General features: G+C 38.8%; 1 protein-coding gene across 12 annotated transcripts in view, besides 1 other annotated feature; it reads left to right on the top strand.

Moving 5' to 3' along the window:
- FBXW11 (F-box and WD repeat domain containing 11) overlaps window positions 1-21883 on the top strand; it is a 145090-nt gene that overhangs the window by 58055 nt on the left and 65152 nt on the right. Inside the window, exon 1 of one of the 12 annotated variants that reach the window (XM_017009279.2) lies at window positions 17808-20763. The exons of the other annotated variants lie outside the window; for them this stretch is intronic. Within the exon in view, the coding sequence (XP_016864768.1) occupies window positions 20680-20763 (84 nt within the window). The 5' untranslated portion in view covers window positions 17808-20679. Of the gene's footprint in view, window positions 1-17807; window positions 20764-21883 lie in introns of those variants that run through there. 12 annotated transcript variants of the gene reach the window in all.
- Window positions 4536-5035: an enhancer, noted in NCBI's record as "H3K4me1 hESC enhancer chr5:171370553-171371052 (GRCh37/hg19 assembly coordinates)". NCBI's record gives its function as "activates a minimal SCP1, AML or CMV promoter by ChIP-STARR-seq in primed H9 embryonic stem cells {active_cell/tissue: H9 hESC(primed)}" and the evidence as "EXISTENCE:reporter gene assay evidence [ECO:0000049][PMID:30033119]".

Genomic DNA, 21883 nt, shown 5'->3' with positions numbered 1-21883 from the left:
TTTAATTAAATAGAAATGGGATCTTCCTATGTTGCCCAGACTGGTCTCGAACTCCTGGGCTCAAGTGATCTTCCTGCCTCTACCTCCCAAAGTGCTGAGATTATAGGCATGAGCCACCATGCCTGGCTAGTAACACTTTTTTTTTAATGGCAGAGATTTTAGAGAGTGGACAAGCATGAAGAAGAAATTAACCAGTCAATCATAATCTCACTTCACTTTAATATCTGTTCTTTGTTTTCTGTCATTTTGTTTCTATATAGATATGCTTATCTATCTATACTTTTTGTTTTTATATAGGTTTATACTCCATACACTGAAGTATAACCCAGTTTTTTTTTTTTTTTTTTTTGAGTTGGAGTCTCACTCTGTCGCCCAGGCTGGTGTGCAGTGGCATGATCTTGGCTCACTGCAACCTCTGCCTCCCGGATTCAAGCGATTCTCCTGCCTCAGCCTCCCTAGTAGCTGGGATTACAGGCACGTGCCACCATGCCCAGCTAATTTTTTGTATTTTTAGTAGAGATGGGGTTTCACTCTGTTGGCCAGGCTGGTCTTGAACTCCTGACCCCGTGATCCGCCCACCTTGGCCTCCCAAAGTGCTGGGATTATAGGTGTGAGCCACCATGCCTGGCCTACATTTTTATTTTTAAAAATAAAGTTTCTATTTTTTTAGGCGGGGTCTCATTCTGTTGCCCAAGCTAGAGTGCAGTGGTGTGAACATGGCTCACTATAGCGTCGACCTCCCAGGCCCAAGTAGTCCTTTCACCTCAGCCTCCCAAGTAGCTGGGACCACAGACACACACCAGCCACTCCTGGCTAATTTTTAAATTTTTTGTAGAGATGGCGTCTCCCTATGTTCCCCAGGCTGGTACATTTTTAATAACTGCAATTTCATTGTCTGGGTATACAATAATTTAATCAGTCTCTTATTAATGGACATTAAGGTCATTAAACTTTAGTGTACATTCATGCTTCATACCTTAGATTATCTTATTCACTGAAAAAATTCTGAGTCAAAGGAAGTGGACCTTGTTTTTTTTTTTTTAATAATTGAGATGGGGCCTCCCTATGTTGTCCGGACTGGGGTCTTGAACTCCTGAGCTCAAGTGGTCTGCCCGCTTTGGCCTTGCAAAATCCTGAGATTACAGGCGTGGGCCACCACACCCAGCCCTGGACTTTAAGCCTTTTAATCTACTAGCAAAAACATTATTCTAGTTTTTAATATCATCAGCAATGTATGATTATAATAGAAATAAATGCCCAATGTAGAAAACTGGGAAATATAGGAAAACACAAAGAGTAAATTAAAAATCAGTCTTCACTCTTTTGTTTTTTCTTCAAGCAACAAATGACTTATGATGTTCTTACTATGTGTTAGGCATAGGGCCTGGTAATAGAGGAGTGCACAAAACAGACAAAAAGCCTTGTTGTCTCAGAACCTACATTTTAGTGGTGAAAGAAAATGAGTAAAACGGCCAGGTGCAGTGGCTCACGCCTGTAATCCCAGCACCTTGGGAGGCCAAGGCAGGTAGATCACTTGAGGGCAGGAGTTCAAGACCAGCCTGGCTAACATGGTGAACTCTGTCTCTACTAAAAATACAAAAATTAGCCAGGCGTGGTGGCAGGCACCTGCAATCCCATCTACTTGGGAGGCTGAGGCAGGAAAATTGCTTGAACCCGGGAGGTGGAGGTTGCAGTGAGCCGAGATCCCGCCACTGCACTCCAGCCTGGGCGACAGAGTGAGACTCTGTATCAAAAAAAAAAAAAAAAAAAAAAAAAAAGTAAAGTACACAGGATGTTAGATAGTAATATGTTCTGTGGAGAAAAGGGGGGAATAGAGCACCCCAAGATTTGGGAAGGGCTTCAGTTTTAAATAGAGCGAAGAGGGAAAGCCATTTGAGCAAAGACTTGAAGGAAATGAGGGAGCAAGCTGTGCAGTTATCTGGAGGAAAAGAATCCCAGGTAGAGGGAACAGCAAGTGTACAACAAGCCCCAGAGGTAGGAATGTTTGTGGCATGTTAAAATAGCCAGAAGGCTAATGTCTGGCTGGAATGTGGAATGAGGGAGAAAGTAGTAGGAGATGAAATCAGGGAAGGAAGGAGGAAGGTCATAGAAATTCTGTGGGGCTTCTAGAGTTTCGTAGACTTTGGCTTTTATTCTGCATGAGATGGGAAGTCATTAGAGAATTTTTACCAGAGGGGTCATTGAATGTCTTGACAGGATCCCTCTACCTGCTGTGTAGACATAGAAAGAAGAGGCGGAAGCAGGGAGACCAACTCTAAGATTGATCAGCATGTCAGTCAGGGTTCTCCAGAGAAACAGAATCAATAGTAGATAGATATTTTAGGAAACTGACTCACATGACCATGGGGGCTGGCAAGATTGAATGTTATGAGACAGGCCATTAGGCTGGAAGCTCAGGCAAGATTTCCCTGTTGCAGCCTGGAGGCAAAATTTATCCTTCTCTGGGAAACCCCAGTCTTTTCTCTTAGGCCTTCAATTGACTGGATGAGGCTTACCTACATTATGGTGGGTAATAGACTCAAAGTCTACTGATTGTAAATGTTAATCATACCTAACAATACCCTTACACCAATATCTGCTAATAGATTAGTATTTGACCAAACAACTGGCCATATAACCTAGTCTAGCCAAGTTGACACATAAAATTAACCATCACAAGCAGATTGGAAGGAGGCCACACTTTGGAGTTAGGGATTCAAAATGGAAACAGTTCATGATGAAATGAAAGAAAAGGTGAGTATGAGGTTAGTAAAAATAATATTAATCTTGTTAAGCCAGTATCATTTATAGCATCAATATCTAACAAGAATTTAGTCAGCGGTGATTTGGACTTTGGAGCCTCGGTGTGGTTGGAAGATAAAAATGTGATACGTTTCTACTTGCAATAGTGAAATAGTGAGTGCTTCGCAGAGAACCATTAGTATATAGTGCTCAATTTGTGGAAGAACTATAAGTATGTAGGGAACTTACAGTTAATGAGTACTACATGCCTAAACATGTTACTAAGCTCTTTCCCATATATTATCTTTCTTCACTTTATAAACTTTATAAGCTAGGCACTATTCTGTCTGTTTTATATGTGAGGAAACTGAACTGAGGGAGAGAGAGCTTGTGACCTAAACAGGGGTATCTACCTTCTATGTAGTGGAGCCACGATTCAAACCTAGTCTTTCTAGTTCTATTATACCTTACTGCCTCTTAAAGTAGAAACTATTTTCATAGGGATGATTTTTATATTTTAAGTTGTAAACAGACTTTTCTAAATCCCAGGTCAATTACGCAATAGGAATGCTATTTATGTTGTTATACCAGTAGCTTGCATGATCAGATATCTCCTCTTCAGAGAGACCTTTTCTGACCACCCAATTGAAAATAGCTTCCTGCTTTCCACTGTTATTTTATGTTGCTTTATTTTTTTCCTTCATAGTGCTTAGCACTGTATGAAATTATATTCCATGTTTGTTTGTTTTCCTCCTGTCTGTTGTCTTTTCCCCCACCAGAATCCAAGTTCTATGAGAAAACGGGTCATGTCTTCTTTTTCACTGCTTGGTAAACACATCTGTTTCTAAAACAGTCCCAGCAGGTAGTAGGTGCTCAATAATTATTTACTGAATGAAGAATAAGCATAATAAGCTGGAATGTGAAGGAAAGGCTATTTCTAAGCTTGGTTAGGATTATCTGGTATAATATTATTTGCTGTCATAGTTAGGACTACTTTGGACTTCTTTCTTTGAATTCTGTGAATGTAAGTATTCCTGTGAGTTGAAAGATTATCTTGAAAAAAACTGATTTTGATTTGAAAGTCTTCAAATCAGACTGTATTTTGTTTTGCTTTAAAAAGTTCTCTTTTGATTGTAAAATTAATACTATTTATTATAGACCATTGGGGTAAAAGTGGAAAGAAAAATGAGAAACCACAGTTTATGGAGTACCATTCTTAATATTTTTGGCATGTTTTCTTTTAGTTGTTTTTTTTTTTTTTTTTTTTGAGATGGAGTCTCGCTGTCGCCCAGGCTGGAGTGCAGTGGCGCGATCTCCGCTCACTGCAGGCTCCGCCCTGCCGGGGTTCACGCCATTCTCCTGCCTCAGCCTCCCGCATAGCTGGGACTACAGGCGCCCGCCACCTCGTCCGGCTAATTTTTTGTATTTTTAGTAGAGATGGGGTTTCACCATGTTAGCCAGGATGGTCTTGATCTCCTGACCTCGTGATCCACCTGCCTTGGCCTCCCAAAGTGCTGGGTTACAGGTGTGAGCCACAGCGCCCGGCCTTCTTTTACTTTTAAATCTATGCATATGTTTTACATAGTTGGGATTATTATATATATAATTTATTATATGCATATAAATAGATGTATAATTTTACTTTCTATGCTTTGTATACTTAATAGAATGAGTGTATTAATGTATTCCTATAATTTCTCATAGCATAATTTGACATTGTCTTATATATTTTATGAACTTTCCATAACTTGTCATTTCTTTGGGTGCTTAGAGTCTTTATTCTTAATTATCCAAAAAGCTAATCACCATCTTTGTGCGTAAATCTTTGGCTTCATTTTGAATTAGCTAGGATATATTTCCAGGAGATACATCATATATATCTTGTCAAATTGTTTCCCGGAGTGTTTACGTCTCATTATGCCTTCACTAGGATTGAACATTTTTATTTTGAAAAGCTTTAGCAAGCCTGTTGCTCTGTATAATTTAGTAGCATGCTCTAAATTCAAACCTCTTTACAAGTGGCAACTCTTTCCCCTGAGCAGTTTGAATATATGTTGAGTCAGCTAAGGCATGGCCTACTAAAACAAGATCTAGGCCATGCCCGGTGGCTCACGCCTGTTATCGCAGCACTTTGGGAGGCCGAGGCGGGCGGATCATGAGGTCAGGAGATTGAGACCATCCTGTCCGACTTGGTGAAACCCTGTCTTTACTAAAAATTAGCTGGGTGTGGTGGCGCATGCCTGTAATCCCAGCTACTCGGGAGGCTGAGGCAGGAGAATCGCTTGAACCTGGGAGGTGGAGATTGCAGTGAGCTGAGATCCCACCACTGCACTCCAGCCTGGCGACAGAGCGAGACTCTGTCTAAAAATAAAAACTAAAAAAGAAGATCTGTGCTGCTGTGCTTGGCCAAGAAAAGGATGTCAAGAGATGTCCAAACACCTAACAACAGCCTGCCATTGAGTTGCCTGGCTGCTACAACTAGATTTCAAAATTCAGATCATTCACTTAGAATGGAGTTACTCACAAACTACTTAAGAAAACAGAATCACTCTTATATCTTGGACATATTTATGTACCATGGTTCTGAGTCCTACTATGTCCCATGCCTTATGTTACATGCAGAGAACAAGCTGCCAATTGTTGTAGACAGATTGCATATGAACACTGTCTACCCTAATATAAAGAAGGTTCCTCTCTTTAGAAAACCAACAGTCACTTATTGGCATCCCTGTAAAATCTTTACATTACAGGATGCATCTTAGTTACTTAATTTGGAGTAGAAGGCAAATGTTAAATCCTTCATCTTTAAGACAATAAGAAATGAAAAATTGAGGGTTAAAGTAATGGTAGCTCTGATGATAGTAGATAGGAAGAAACTGTCACCTAATTTGAAAGAAAAAGACTGTCAAAAGAAACATTGCCCAGGGCATCTGGTAGAGTTCACAGAAAAGAGATAGATGGATGAACCCCTTATTTTTAAAAATAATAATTTATTTTTAATTAAATTTAAAAAATTTAATTGATTAATTAATTAATTTTTGAGATAGGGCCTTACTCTGTCACCCAGGCCAGAGTACGGTGGTGTGATCACTGCCCACTGCAGCCTCAACCTCCTGGGCTCAGGTGATCGTCCTACCTCAGCCTTCTGAGCAACTGGACTACAGGTGTGTGCTACCACGCCTGGCTAGTGTTTTTGGATTTTTTTGTAGAGACGGGGTTTCACTGTGTTGCCCAGGCTGGTCTTAAACTCCTGGGCTCAAGTGATCTGCCTGCTTTGGCCTCCCAAAGTGTTAGGATTACAGGTGGTAGCTGTCACAATAGCAATGAGAAAACAGCAATCGCTTTTATGATATTCATTTAAACTAAATCTAACCATAAGGAAACAAAGAACAAACCTAAATTGACAGACTGTGAAACAGCTGGTCTGTAATCTTCAGAAGTGTCAAGGTCGTGGAAGTCCCGCAAAGACCAAATAACTCTTCCAGACTGAAAAAAACTAAAGAAGTGTGACAACTAAAGGCAATGCATCATTCTGAACTGGGTAGCTCTGCTATAAAGGAAATTATCAGGACCTCTGATGAAACTTAAATAAGGGCTGAGAATTAGTTGGCAGTAACCTGTCAGTGCTAATTTACCGATTTGATTCTCGTATTATGACTATGTAGAACATCCTCCTTTGTAGGAAATACACAGTAAAATATTACAGCATGAGAGAAGCATTCGGTCAGCTTTACTTTCAAATTGAGAAACAAAAGGTTCTGTGTGTTATACTAATAACTTTTCTATAAGCTTGAGACTATCTCAAAATAAATAAAAAGCAATATTTCAATGGCTTGTTTACATTAATTATTACCTAACACTTCAAACTATGAGCTCATATCCCCAGGAATAAGTGTGCTAAAAATCCTTTGTGACTTTTTTACCACCACATTTTAATCACATGATCTTAATGAACAAATATTCTCAAACTAGCACTGACTGACACTACAGGTTCATGCGTCTTTCCCAACCTAAAAGTCACAAAGGATTTTTAGCACCTTTATTCCTGGGGATATGAGCTCATAGTTTGAAGTGTTAGGTAATAATTAATGTAAACAAGCCATTGAAATATTGCTTTTTATTTATTTTGAGACAGTCTCAAGCTTATAGAAAAGTTATTAGTATAACACACAGAACCTTTTGTTTCTCAATTTGAAAGTAAAGCTGACCGAATGCTTCTCTCATGCTGTAATATTTTACTGTGTATTTCCTACAAAGGAGGATGTTCTACATAGTCATAATACGAGAATCAAATCGGTAAATTAGCACTGACAGGTTACTGCCAACTAATTCTCAGCCCTTATTTAAGTTTCATCAGAGGTCCTGATAATTTCCTTTATAGCAGAGCTACCCAGTTCAGAATGATGCATTGCCTTTAGTTGTCACACTTCTTTAGTTTTTTTCAGTCTGGAAGAGTTATTTGGTCTTTGCGGGACTTCCACGACCTTGACACTTCTGAAGATTACAGACCAGCTGTTTCATAGTCTGTCACTTTAGGTTTGTCCTTTGTTTCCTTATGGTTAGATTTAGTTTAAATGAATATCATAAAAGCGATTTCTGTTTTCTCATTGCATCCTCTCAGGTAGTACATAATATTGATTTCTCTCATTCAGAATGGTGATCACTTAGATCACTTGAGTAAGGAAATGTCTATCAAGCCTTCTTCATTGTAAAGTTATTCTTTTTCCCTTTGTAATTATGCATTGGGTGGGGAGGTACTTTGAAACTCCACAAATATCCTGTTTTCATCAGAATTTCAGTTTTTCATTTATTCTATCAGTATACACCTATATTTTCCTATTTTATTCAGTACGTTATTTTAATCTTTTATTATCATTATTTATTTCGATGGTCAGAGTGTTTAAAGTTTAGGCAGTGGGTGCCTTTTCAGGTCAGCGTCTGTATCTTTTTTTTTTTGAGACGGAGTCTTGCTCTGTCGCCAGGCTGGAGTGCAGTGGTGCAATCTCGGCTCACTGCAACCTCCATCTCCCAGGTTCAAGGGATTCTCCTGCCTCAGCCTCCTGAGTAGTGGGATTATAGGCGTGTGCTACCACGCCTGGCTAATTTTTGTATTTTTAGTACAGACGGGGTTTCACTGTGTTGGTCAGGCTGGTCTCGAACTCCTGACCTCTTGATTCGCCTGCCTTGGCCTCCCAAAGTGCCGGGATTACAGACATGAGCCACCGCACCCAGCCTGTCTGTATCCTTTTGATCTGTTCTCATAATTGTTTAAGTACTTCCTTATTTTCTGTTGCAACATGTTCCAGGCTTATCTTGTATTTTCCCACTCTCAGCCTTGGAACCAGCCATTTCTCCGAAGAGCCTTGTTTCCTTTCACTGAGGAATGGTATTAGATCTGGGTGGCAAGTGTGCTTAGTGCTACTGGAATGTCATTGCTTCTAGGCCCTCTCAGCCAACTGTGTTAGGAAATGTATGTATAATTTTTTGTCTATATAAAAATACTTCCCTCCTTGTTCTATGTATTAGAAACTGTGAGTCCATACTGATATATCCAATTCTAGTCTAGTCTCACAGATCTCATTCTAGCCTTCCAGAAGGAAACCCTTTTCATATTTAGTACTCGCTTCTCTAACAGTGAGAAACCTGACTCCGGTTTTCCACAATATATTTACTCACTTGCTCAACCCCAGAATGCATATCAAGTAGTTTTAGAATTACAGTGGGCCCTCCGCATTCCATGGATTCAATCAACCTAGGATTGAAAATATTTGGGAGAAAAACCAATAAAAATAATAATATAACAGTAAAAAATAATACAAATAAAAATACAGTAGAACAACTATTTACATAGCTTTTACTTTTTTTTGGAATTATAAGTAGTCTATAGAGATTTAAAGTATATGAGAGGATGTGCTTAGGTTACATGCAAATACTATTCCACTTTATATAAGGAATTTGAGCACCAGTCGATTTTGATATCCATAGCGGGAAGAGTGTGTGTATCCTGAAACTGATGCCTGAGGATGACACTGAGGGATGACACGCCTTGCAAACATCACTGAAAAATACATGTACTAACACTAGCCATACTAAAGATTCTTTACAGTTTTCTTTCTTTCTTTCTTTTTTTTTTTTTTTTTTTTTTGAGACAGGGTCTTGCTGTGTAGCCCAGGTTGGAGTGCGGTGGCACGATCTCAGCTCACTGCAGCCTCCACTCCTGGGATCAAGTGATCCTCCCCACTCAGCCTCCTAAATAGCTGGGACTACAGGCACATGTCACCATGCCCTGTTAATTTTTGTCATTTTTCTTAGAGACGGGGTCTTGGCATGTTGCACAGGCTGGTCTTGAACTCCTAGGCTCAAGTGATCTGCCTGCCTTGGCTTCCCAAAGTGCTGGGATTACAGGTGTAGCCACCACGCCTGGGGATTTCTTTATAGTTCTTAAAAATAATGTTTATGACTGTGTAGTCCCATTACTGAGTTCAAGAGTCACTTGGGTGGGTTTTCACCCTCTTCCATTAAGTATGATTATGTTATTCATTTGTTTCTGCTGATGTATTACATCTCTCTTTCTCAGTTTTTGTTTATTTTTGGTTTATTTATTTTTGAGACAGAGTCTTGCTGTCACCCATGCTGGAGTGCAGTGGCATGGTCTTGGCTCACTGCAACCTCTGCCTCCCGGGTTCAAGTGATTCTCCTGCCTCAGCCTCTCAAGTAGCTGGTATTACAGGTTCCTGCCACTACGCCCCACTATTTTTTTTTGTATTTTTAGTAGAGATGAGGTTTCACTATGTTGGCCAGGCTGGTCTTAAACTCCTGACCTCGTGATCCACCTGCCTCAGCTTCCCAAAGTGCTGGGATTACAGGTGTGAGCCACTGCGCCTGGCCTATCTTTGCTTATTTTTTACACAAAAGGTAGTATACAGTATATATTCTTTTGCACTTTGCCTTTTCACCTAAAGGTGTATACTGAAAGTTATTCTATATCAGTCAACAGGGGCCTTCCTTATTCTTTCTTATGGCTGCATAGTACTCTGTTGTGTTCATATGCCATAGTTTATTCAGCCAGTGTCTTTCGTATGAGCATGTAGGTTGTTTCCATTTTTTTTGAAATTACAAACAATGACTGAATAACCTTGTATATATGTATTTTCATATTGTTACTGAATTAGTGTATCTTCAGGGAGAATTCCTGTAAGTGGAATTGCTGATCAAAAAGTAAATGCACAATTAGTTTTGTTAAATATTAACAAATTTTCTTCCAAAAGGGTTGTGACACATTTGCCTTCCCACCAGAAATACACAAGAGCACCTATTTCCTCACTGCTTCATTGACTGAATGTGTTATCAATTCTACATATTTGCCAATATGTTAAGTGAGAAATGTGTAGCTTTAATTTGCATCTCTTTAATTATGAGTAAATCTGAACATCTTTTCCTATTTAAGGGTCATGTTATGTTTTTTGAAAATCTGTTTATGGCCAGGTGCAGTGGCTCACGCCTGTAACCGCAGTGATTTGGGAGGCTGAGGCTGGGGATTGCCTGAGCCCAGGAATTCAAGACCAGCCTGGGCAACATAGGGAGACCCTGTCTCTACAAAATATAAAAATAAATTACCTGGGCATGGTGGCATGCATGTGCCTTTGGTCCCAGCTCCATGGGAAGCTGAGGTGGGAGGATAACTTGAGTCTGGAAGAGTGAGGCTGTAGTGAGCTATGATCGTGCCACTGCACTTCAGGCTTGGCGACAGAGTGAGACTGTCTCAAAACAAAACAAAGTTTGATTATGACTTTTCCTCATTTTCTTATTGGGATTTTGGTGTTTTTTTTACTTCCCTCAATTTAAAGAAATTTTTAGGGATATTAGTTCTTTTATTTGTGACATAGGCTGCAAATTTTTTTTCCAGTTTGTCATTTAAGGTTTAGTTTATGGTAGTTAATAAAAATGCTGTGCAAAAGTTTAAAATTTTTATCTAGTTTAAATTTTCCTTTTTTTTTTTTTTTTGCTTTTTTTTGAGCCAAGGTCTCATTCTCTCACCTAAGTTGGAGTACAGTGGCACAATCATGGTTCACTGCAGCTTCAACCTCCCAGGTTCAAGTGATCCTCTTACCTCAGCCCCCTGTGTAGCTGGGACTACAGGCGTGTGCCACCATGCCTGGCTAATTTTTGTATTTTTTAGTAGAGGCGGGGTTTCACCATGTTGATCAGGCTGGTCTTGAACTCCTGAGCTCAATGATTTTGGCCTCCCAAAATGCTGGGATTACAGGTGTGAGCCACTGTATCCGGCCCCCACTGCGTTTTTATAAATAAAGTTTTATTGGAGCACAGCCACACTCATTCACTTACATATCATCTGTGGCTGCTTTCATCCTATAACAGAAGAGTTGAGTAGTTGTGACAAAATCAGTGAGTCCTGCAAAGCTCAAAATATTTACATCTGACCCTTTACAGAAAAAGCTTGCCAACCCTACTCTGGAGTATTTGTGTATTCATGTGCTATGAAAGTATCTTGCTTTTCAGTAGAGAGGCTTATTTATGGTGTATTTTGATGTCTGGTAGGACTGATTCCCCACTTTTCTTTTTTTGTATTTTTTACTGAATACTCATGTAAGTTTGCTTTTGAATATGAACTTGAGTATCATTTTGTCTAGCTCCATAAAGAATTTTCTTGTGGGGTTATTGGGGAAATGTTAAACTTATAAATTAGGGAGAACTGTCATCTTTCGAATGTTGAGTTCTCTTATCCAACAATAGTTATGAAGAAAAGAATAGAGAAACCTGTCAAAGAATTAAATCAGAAAAATGTATCAGGTCAGTGTGGATTCACAGAGAATTCCACCAGACCTTTAAAGAACAAATGGGCCAGAAGCTCTATAAATTGTTCCATAACATTGATTGAAGGAATTGTTCTTCTTTTTCTAGGAATTGCTTTTAGTTTTATTATCTTTTGATCAGAGGCTCTTATTTTCTAATTTTTCTTTTTTATTGAACTTATTTCTTTGTGATCTAATATATGATAAGCTTTCAGAAATTTTTTACACGTGCTGGAAAAGCAAGTTTAGTCTGTGTAAACAGGTTATCATATCCTGTAAGACCTGCCTGCCTTACTGATGCTTATGAATTTTTATTTTTTGTTTTCTTGAGCTGTCTTGTAGTGAGAGTAGTGTGTATAGTGTATTTATATCCATGTCTCTCTGCATTTCTTTTAGTTTGTTTCTGTTCATGATGTGCTTTCTTTGCTCTTTTATTTTTGAAATTTCTTTTTATAGAGAGGTTTGTATTTTTGTTAGTTTTAATTATAATTTTTGTAATGCCTCTATTTCCTGTTTTTTTTTTTTTTTTTGGTGAGACAGGCTCTCACTATGTTGCCCAGGCTGGAGTGCAGTAGCATGATCATAATTCAGTGTAGCCTCAAACTCCTGGGCTCAAGTGATTGGGGCCGCCCGCCTCAGCCTACCAAGTCACTGGGACTACAGGTGCGGGCTACCACATCTGGCTAATTTTTAAATTTTTTTAAGAGATGGGTCTTGCTGTGTTGCCTAGCTGGTCTTGAACTCCTTGGCTCATGGGATCCTCCCATCTTGCCTTCCCAAAGTGTTGGGATTACAGGCATGAGCTACTGCACCTGGCCTGCAGTTTTAAAGTTGTGTTATTTCTTTGTCTGAATATGACATGTGATTCTTCTGTTATCTTCAGACTTGTTTTATTCTTTTTTTTTTTTTTTTTTTTTTTAGATGGAGTCTAGCTCTGCTGCCCAGGCTAGAGTGCAGTGGCACAATCTTGGCTCACTGCAACCTCTGCCTCCCAGGTTCAAGCAGTTCTCCTATCTCAGCCTCCCGAGTAGCTGGGACTACAGGCACCCGCCACCATGCCTGGCTAATTTTTGTATTTTTAGTAGAGATGGGGGTTCACCATATTGGTCAGGCTTGTCTCGAACTCCTGACCTCAGGTGATCAGCCCGCCTTGGCCTCCCAAAGTGCTGAGATTACAGGTGCGAGCCACAACACCTGGCTCAGACTTGTTTATTCTTAGAGCCATAATTGTTTTAAATGTTTACCATTAATTTTTTTGACAATTTTTTGCATCATCTCAGGATTACTCAAGGAAACCTTTACCCTTTATTTTCTAAAATTTTGGAAGATGCTGCTCCACTGATGCCTTGCTTGGTGTGTTGTTTCGAGAAGTTTGATGCCAATCCAATTAATGCTCTTTCTCTTTAAAGGTTTCTTCTTAAATTAAAAAAAAAATTTGGGGTGGGGATTGAAAACATTTTTTCTTTATTTTTAAAGTCTAACAATTGTCTTAGGATATCTCTTGGAGTTTATTGCTGTGGGCCAGTTTCCCCTATTACCTGGAGCCCCTTTCAACATGTAGTTCAGGTTTCCTTTTATCTCTGGAAAGCTTTTTGAATTATCGTTTTTTTTTCTTTTTAAATAACAGCTTTATTGAGACATAACTCAAATATTGTAAATTTACACATTTAAAGTGTACAATTCAGTGATTTTTAGTATAGTCACAGAGTTGTATAACCAGTGCCACAGTCAGTTTAGAACATTTGTATCACCACCAAAAGAAACACGCTACCGGCTGGGCGCGGTGGCTCACGCCTGTAATCCCAGCACTTTGGGAGGCCGAGGTGGGCAGATCACGAGGTCAGGAGATCAAGACCGTCCTGGCTAACACGGTGAAACCCCGTCTCTACTAAAAATACAAAAACAAAATTAGCCAGGCGTGGTGGCAGGCGCCTGTAGTCCCAGCTGCTCGGGAGTCTGAGGCGGGAGAATAGCATGAACCCAGGAGGCGGAGCTTGCAGTGAGATCAAGCCACAGCACTCCAGCCTGGGCTACAGAGCGAGACTCCGTCTCAAAAACAAAACAAAAAACAAACAAAAAAAACCACTGTACCCTTAGGCTGTCATTCCCTATATCCCTCACCCATCCAACCCTAGGAACCGCTTGGATTATAGTTTTAAAGGTTATTTTTATTTTATTTTTTTCTTTAGAAACTCCAATTATATTTAGGTTGGATCTCCTTTGTTTTCCATGTTAACTACTTTCTCACTGCCCATATTGCTTATTTCTTCATCTCATTTTTATTCTCTTGGGTTGTTTTCTTGCTTGTCTTCAATGTTTCCTAATAATTTTCTATTTTTTTTTTTTTTTTTTGAGACAGGGTCACACTCTGTCACCCAGGCTGGAGTAGGGTGGCGCTATCTTGGCTCGCTGCAACCTCTGCCTCCCGGGTTCAAGCAATTCTTGTGCCTCAGCCTCCCAAGTAGCTGTAACTTCAGGTGTGCACCACCACACCTGGCTAATTTTTGTATTTTTAGTGGAGTTGGGGTTTCACCATTTTACCCAGGCTGGTCTTGAACCCTGGCCTCAAGTGATCTGCATGCCTCGGCCCCCAAAGTGCTGGGATTACAAGGCATGAGGCAATGTGCCCAACCTACTTTTCAAATTTTTAAAATTTTCATTTGCTTTATCTGTTTTGGGGGTATTTTAATGTATTCTTGTTTGTTATAATTTTGTTTTTATTTTTTGAGTTAGGTCAATTCTTATTACATTTCTTCTGGTTTTTGGTACATTTCTGTCTTAAGTTTTCAATTTCTGATTCAGTGTTTCAGAGTGTTTTTAAGTAACATCACATGCCTGTTTGATCATATTTAAATCAGTTTGCAGTAGCTCTTTTCAACCAGGTTTCTCAAAAACAGTATGCGCTTACGCACTAAGGCATACATTGTATATAGTGAATTAATGTCTCTCATACATGACAGGAATGGTATTATCTATGTACCATCCTTAGGGAAATTAAGAAAACTGTCTGCAAAATTACTCTCATAAGGGCTTCATGATCTCACAGAACCTTAGTTAAGAAAGGCTTGTTTGGGATGTTGTTTAGTTCTCTCTGTTTTTCCCTCCTTCCCTTACTCCCTGCCTCTTCTTTTATATGTAGGAGTTTAATGAACTTTTCCCTGTATAGTTTTTTTTTTAAATAGATGAAAATTGCATGTGTCTCTACATTTTTTTGAGACAGACCTGGCAGTTTGAGGTAGTTTAAGTTGATAAGATTCCTAGCTTAAGAGCATTCCTTATCAAAGTATTATTTCTTTACTGCATGGCTTCCTTTGCAGGATAAGCAGGTGATGGTGGGAGGAAAGGCTTTGTATCCTTTGGATGTTATTAAAAATTCTTTTCTTGCAGGATCCTAGAATACTTCCTCCTGGGATTCTAGGATCCCTTCTACCCACATACACACACAACCTCTTACAATGTGGGCATCCCATACCACAGGGATACATTTGATGCAATGGATGAGCCTACCTTGACACACCATTATCACCCGAAGTCCATAGCTTATATTAGGATTTATTCTTGGTGTTGTACATTCTTTGGGTTTGGACAGATATAATAACATGTTTCCATCATTGCAGTATCATACAGAATAGTTTCACTGCCCTAAGAATTCTATGTGTGCTTCCTATCCATCCTTCCTGACAATCACTAATTGTTTTAATGTCTCCATAGTTTTGCCTTTCCCAGAATGTCATCTAGTTGGATCACACGGTGTGTAGCCTTTTCATATTGGCTTCTTTCACTTAATAATAGATGTTTAAGTTTCCACCAGGTTTTTTGATGACTTGATGCCTCATTTCATTGGATGACATTCAATTGTCTGGATGTACCACACTTTTTTTTTTTTTTTTTTTTTTTTGAGAGAAGGTCTTGCTTTGTTTCCCAGGCTGGAGTGCAATGGTGTGATTGTGGCTCACTGAAGCCTCAACCTCCTGGGCTTAAGCAATCCTCCCACCTCAGCCTCACAAGTAGCTGGAACAACAGGTGCATTCTACCTTGCCTGACTAAATTTTTTTTTTTTTTTTTTTTTTTTTTGGTAGAGGCAGAGTCTCCCTATGTTGTTCAGTCTGGTCTCAAGTCCTGGGCTGGAGAGTCTCCTGCCTTGGCCTCCCAAAGTGCTGGGATTACATGCATGAGCCACTGTGCCTGGCCCTACCACAGTTTATTCATTCACCTATTGAAGAACATTTTGGCTGCTTCCAAGTTTTAGCAGTTATGTGTAACTGCTGCTATAAACAGCCATGTTAAGGTTTTTCTGTGGATATTAGTTTTCACTTCATTTGGACAAGTAAAAAAGAGGATGAATATTAGATTGTTGGGCAAGAGTATATATAGTTTTGTAAGAAACTGCCAAATTGTCTTCCAAAGTGACTGCACCAGAGTAGGGTGAATATAGTTACAAAAATGTGTTGTACTTTGGTGATGGGAACCCTAAATACCTTGACTTCATCACTACACATTATATACATGTAACAGAATTTCACATCTACCCCATAAATTTGTACAAATTAAAAAAAATAAAGTGGCCTTACTATTTGATATTTCTACCAGCAATGAATGAGAGTTCCTATAGCTCCACATCTTCTCCAGCATTTCATGGTGTTTGCATTTTGGATTTTGGCCATGCTGATAGATGTGTTGTGGTATTTTGTTTTAATTTGTATTTACCTGATGACTTATGAAGAGATGCTCCATATTCCATGTTTATTTGTCATCTGTATATCTTTTCTGGTGAAGTGACTGTTAAGGTTTTTGGCCCATTTTAAAAATTGTGTTGTTTACTTTTTTCTTGTTGAGTTTGAAGAATTGTTTCTAGGCCAGGCATGGTGGCTCACACCTATAATCCCAGCACTTTGGGAGGCTGAGGCAGATGGATTAGTTGAGCCCAGAAGTTCGAGACCAGCTTGGGCAACATGGCAAGACCTCATCTCCACAAAATATACAAAAATTAGCCACGTATGGTGGTGTACCCCTGTGGTCGCAGCTACTCTGGAGGCTGAGGTGGGAGGATCACTTGAGCCTGGGAGGTTGAGGCTGCAGTGAGTGGTGATTGCATCACTGCACTGCATTGTGGGTGACAGAGTGAGACCCTGTGAGAGAGAGAGAGAGAGAGAGAGAGAGAGAGAGAGGGAGGGAGGGAGGGAGGGAGGGAGGGAGAGAGAGAGAGAGAGAGAGGAGAGAGAGAGAGAGAAATTGTTTCTGTATTTTGGATAACAGTCCTTTGTCATATATGTTTTTTGCAAATATTTTCTCTGAGTTTGTGGCATATTTTTTCAATTCTCTTGACAGTGTCTCTCAGAGATTTTTATTTTTAATGAAGTCCAGCTTAATAATTCTTCATGGATTGTGCCTTTGATATGTCTAAGAAAGTAATCAACAAACCTAAGATCATCTAGATTTTCTCCTATGTTATCTTTTAGGAGTTTTAGAGCTTTCCATTTTCCATTTAGGCTTGTAATCTGTATTCAGTTAATTTTTGTGAAATGTGTAAGCTGAGTGTCTAGATTCATTTTTTTTGCATATAGATGTCCATTTGTTGATGAGACTCTTCATCGTATTGACTTTGCTCCACAGTCAAAGATGAGTTGACTGTATTTGTGTGGGTCTATTGTGTGGGCCCTCAGTTCTATTCCATTGACCTAGCTCTGTATTCTGTTGCCAGTACCACACTTTCACTTTCGTGAATACTGTAGTTTTGTAGTGCCTTTTGAAGTCAGACAGTATCATTCCTTGAACTTTGTTCTCCTTCAGTTGTGTTTGTTATTATTTATTTATTTTGAATTATTTATTTTTTTTAGCCTCTCCATGTAAACCTTAGAGTCATTTCAATATCCACAAAGTAACTTGCTGGATTTTGATAGAGATTGTATTGAATCTATAGATCCAGTTGGGAAGAACTGATGTCTTGACCTTATTGAATCTTCCTTTCCATGAACATGGAATATCTCTTCATTAATTTAGTTCTTTGATTTCCTTCATCAGGATTTTCTAGTTTTCCTTACAGATATCTTGTGTATATTGTTAGATTTATACCTAATTATATCTATAGGTGTTTATGTAAATGGTAATATGTTTTTAATTTCACATTTCATTTGCTCATTGCTGGTATATAGGAAAGTGATTGACTTTTTGTATATAAACTGTGTATACTGCAGATCTGCCATAATCACTTATGAGTTCCAGGGGCTGTTTTGTTAATTCTTTCAGTTTTTCTTTTTTTTTTTTTTATTTTTTTATTTTTTATTTTTTATTTTTTATTTATTTTTTTTATTGATCATTCTTGGGTGTTTCTCGCAGAGGGGGATTTGGCAGGGTCATAGGACAATAGTGGAGGGAAGGTCAGCAGATAAACAAGTGAACAAAGGTCTCTGGTTTTCCTAGGCAGAGGACCCTGCGGCCTTCCGCAGTGTTTGTGTCCCTGGGTACTTAAGATTAGGGAGTGGTGATGACTCTTAACAATTCTTTCAGTTTTTCTACATAGACAATCATGTCACCTGTGAACCAAAACAGTTTTCTTTCTTCTCAATCTGTATATTTTTTATTTCCTTTCCTTGTCTTATTGCATTAGCTAGAACTTAGAGGATGATGTTGAAAACCAGTGTTGAGAGGGAACATTCTTACCTTGTTCCTGATTTTAGTGGGAAGGTGTCAACTTTTTCACTAATACGTATGATGTTAGCTGTAGGTTTTTTGCAGGTGTTCTTTATCACGTTGAGGAAATTCTCCTCTATTTGCCTTTTGTTTGTACACTCCTTTCTCCTAAAAACTGATCTTTTGAAGACTGCCTTTTTGCATCTTGCATCCTCTTTATCTGTAATCAACTCTGAACTAGCAGGACGCTTTTTAAGTATTTTCATACATAATGTGATTTTATGTCAATCTTTTATCTGCTGCTCGTTTCCTTCTTTTTTTATTCTGCACAGTTTTCCTGAACTGCCCTTGATCTTCATGAAGATTTATGGCTGGAGCATAAGGATGTACTAGGATTTAAATTTCTACTTATGTTCTGTGCCTTTTAGTTATACTGAGAGCTTGAGCTTTACGTAGCTTCATTTTTTTTGTCAGTCTTTGTGTCCTGTGAATTCACTAATATCCCATCACTTTTATTTTTTAATTTTTATTTTTATGTTTTATTTTTGAGACAGAGTCTCGCTCTCTCGCCTAGGCTGGAGCGCAGTGGTGCGATCTTGGCTCTCTGCAACCTCCGCCTCCCGGGTTCATGCCATTCTCCTGCCTCAGCCTCCCGAGTAGCTGGGACTACAGGCGCCTGCCACCATGCCCGGCTAATTTTTTTGTATTTTTAGTAGAGATGGGGTTTCACCACATTAGCCAGGATGGTCTCGATCTCCTGACCTCGTGATCTGCCCACCTCGGCCTCCCAAAGTGCTAGGATTACAGGCCTGAGCCACCACGCCCGGCCATCCCATCACTTTTATTTTGTAGATTCAGCAGGATTTTCTAGTTAGACAGTCATACCATCTACATTCTTTTTGTTATTTATGTTTTTATTTCTTTTTCTTGCTCTGTTGCATTGACTATAGTGAAACTTGTGATTTTCAATTTCAAGTTCACGAATTTTCAATTTTTTAAATTATTGATTGGTTTATTATTATTTTTTTTTGAGACAGGTCTCACTCTGTCACCCAGGCTGTAGTGCAGTGGTGCGATCTTGGCTCACTGTAACCTCCTCCTTGAGGGTTCAAGTGATTCTTGTGCCTCAGCTCCTGAGTAGCTGGAATTAGAGGCGCGTGCCACCACACTGGCTCATTTTTTAAATATTTTTAGTAGAGATGGGGTTTTACCATGTTGCCAGGCTGGTCTTGAACTCCTGACCTCAAATGATCCACCCACCTTGGCCTCCTAAAGTGCTGGGATTACAGACTTGAGCCACTGCCCAGCCTATTTTTTATTTTTTTTTTAGATGGAGCTTGCTCTGTCACCCAGGCTGGAGTGCAGTGGCACGACCTCAGCTCACTGCAGCCTCCATCTCCCAGGTTCAAGTGATTCTCCTGCCTCTGCTTCCCAAGTAGCTGGGATTACAGGCACATGCCACTATGCCCAGCTAATTTTTGTATTTTTAGTAGAGACGGGGGTTGACTGCATTGGCCAGGCTGGTCTTGAACTCCTGACCTCAAGTGATCTGCCTGCCTTGGCCTCCCAAAGTGCTGGGATTACAGGTGTGAGCCACTGTGCCCGGCTCAAATTCACAAATTTGAATTCACACTAGAAGTGTGAATGGATATTCTAGCTTTGTCCTTCAGGACAAGGGGAAAATGTTCCATCTTTAAACATTAAGTATGATGATGTTTCATTATATGACCTTTATCATATTGAGGAAGTTATCTGAGTGTTTTTAAGCATGAATAGATGTTGAATATTGTCAAATGCTTGAAATGCACCGATTACAATCTTCCATTCTGTCCCGTTGGTCTATACATATGTCTTCATGCTAGTTCCACAGTTTTGGTTACAATAGCTTTGTAGTAAATTTTGAAACCAGCTTTTCAAAGCTGATTGAAGTCCAGTTTAATTCTTGTGTTTCAAGATTATGTTGTCTGTTCTGAGTCCCTTGAGATTGCTAATGAATTTTATGGTTGATTTTGCTACTTACGCAAAAAACATCGTTGGGTTTTTTTAGGGATTGCATTAAATCTGTAGATAGTTTTGGGTGGTACGAAGATCTTAATATTAAGTCTTGCAATCCATGAACATGAATTGTGTTTTCTATTATTTGTCTCTTTGATTTTTTCTGCAATATTTTATACTTTTCAGTTAGTCATATTTTCTATAAATTTAAAGAAAAGAAATTAATGTATATGCACTCTCATTTTTACTATTTTTCTTTTCAGTTATGTCTTCATTCCTTTACTATATCCAATTTTTCTTTTCTTTTTGTCTGAAGAACTTTAACGTTTCTTGTAGTGAAGGTTTGAGAATTAGATCAGAGTCCTGGAAGCCAAGTGAATGAAGTATATCAAGAAGATGGAAGTGCTCAACCTTGCTGATCGGTGAAGAAATAGGAGGAATAAGAATTGACCCTTAGATTTAATAACTTGTAGTATGAAGTCTTTTCTGATGAAAACAAATGATTATTAGTCAAGGAATTCGCAAAGGAAATTCAGTTCAGCCATCCTTTTGGATCTCATGGATTTCTAAATTTGACCAAGAGGTAATTGTCAGAGTAGGCATGAAGGTTCATTACAGTGTTGTGTTTAATAGTAAAAAATGTAATGTTTGTTACTACTTGTATTGAGTAAGGAAATTATGGGATGAAGTGAACTGTAGCCCTTAAAAATGAAAACGTAGAACTACAATGATGTGGAAAGATGTGCATGACACATGGAAAAAACAGTTAACCGAAGAGCATGTTTTAAACAATTTTCACTTACATATATGCAGTTTTCAGTCTGTGTACCAAAATGGTCCAGTGGTCATCCCTAGGTGGCAGTATTTTGGTTGATTTTTCCTTTTTAAAAAAACTTCATTTGTGTATTTTCTTTTGTGATGTGCCTGTGGAAGTCTTTTGCTCATTTAAAAATTTAGTATGTGTGTGATTGTGATTCTTCCTTGGTTTGAAGTGAGTTAAAAAAAATTCTGTGTGTATTGCCACTCTTTTCTTGCTCTGTAAGTTGCCTTTTTTCTTCTACATCTAGTTCCTTTGAAAGAATTGAGGTATATTGTGGTATATTTTGCATATCACAAAACTAATCCACATATGTAGTCCAGTGATGCATCATCACCATAAATCAGTTTTCAAGCATTTTCAATCTCTGAATGTTTTCAATGAACAGAAATTATTTTAATATAGTCTGATTTATTACATTGTTCTTTGTGGTTAGCAGTTGTGTATTGTTTAAAAAAGTTTTGCCTATTCCCAGGTCTTGAGGATGTCCTATGGCTTCTTCTAAAAGCTTTACTGCTTTGTCTTTTACACTTAGATCTTCAGTCTATCTAGAATGGATTTTTTTTTGTATTTCTTTGTATGCATGTGAGAGGGTAGGGCCCAAAATATGTTAAGAATATCTAGTTGATAGAGTCTTTTATTTAAAAGACCATTCTTTTCCCACTGCACTGAAGTGTGTAGCTAATATTTATCAATAGATATTTATTATACCTCTGTACTTAAGTAGTATGCTGGGAATTATTCTAAGTGCTAAGGATACAGATTGAATAATACAACCAAATATCTCTGCCTTATGGAAGTTAAATTTGACTAAAGGAGCCTCTATTAGTCTGTTCTCACACTGCTATAAAGAAATACCTGAGATTGGGTAATTGATAAGGAAATG

This window comes from Homo sapiens, chromosome 5 (assembly GCF_000001405.40).
Source record: "Homo sapiens chromosome 5, GRCh38.p14 Primary Assembly".
Taxonomy (NCBI): Eukaryota; Metazoa; Chordata; class Mammalia; order Primates; family Hominidae; genus Homo; species Homo sapiens.
This window is presented reverse-complemented; position numbering and strand designations above follow the sequence as displayed.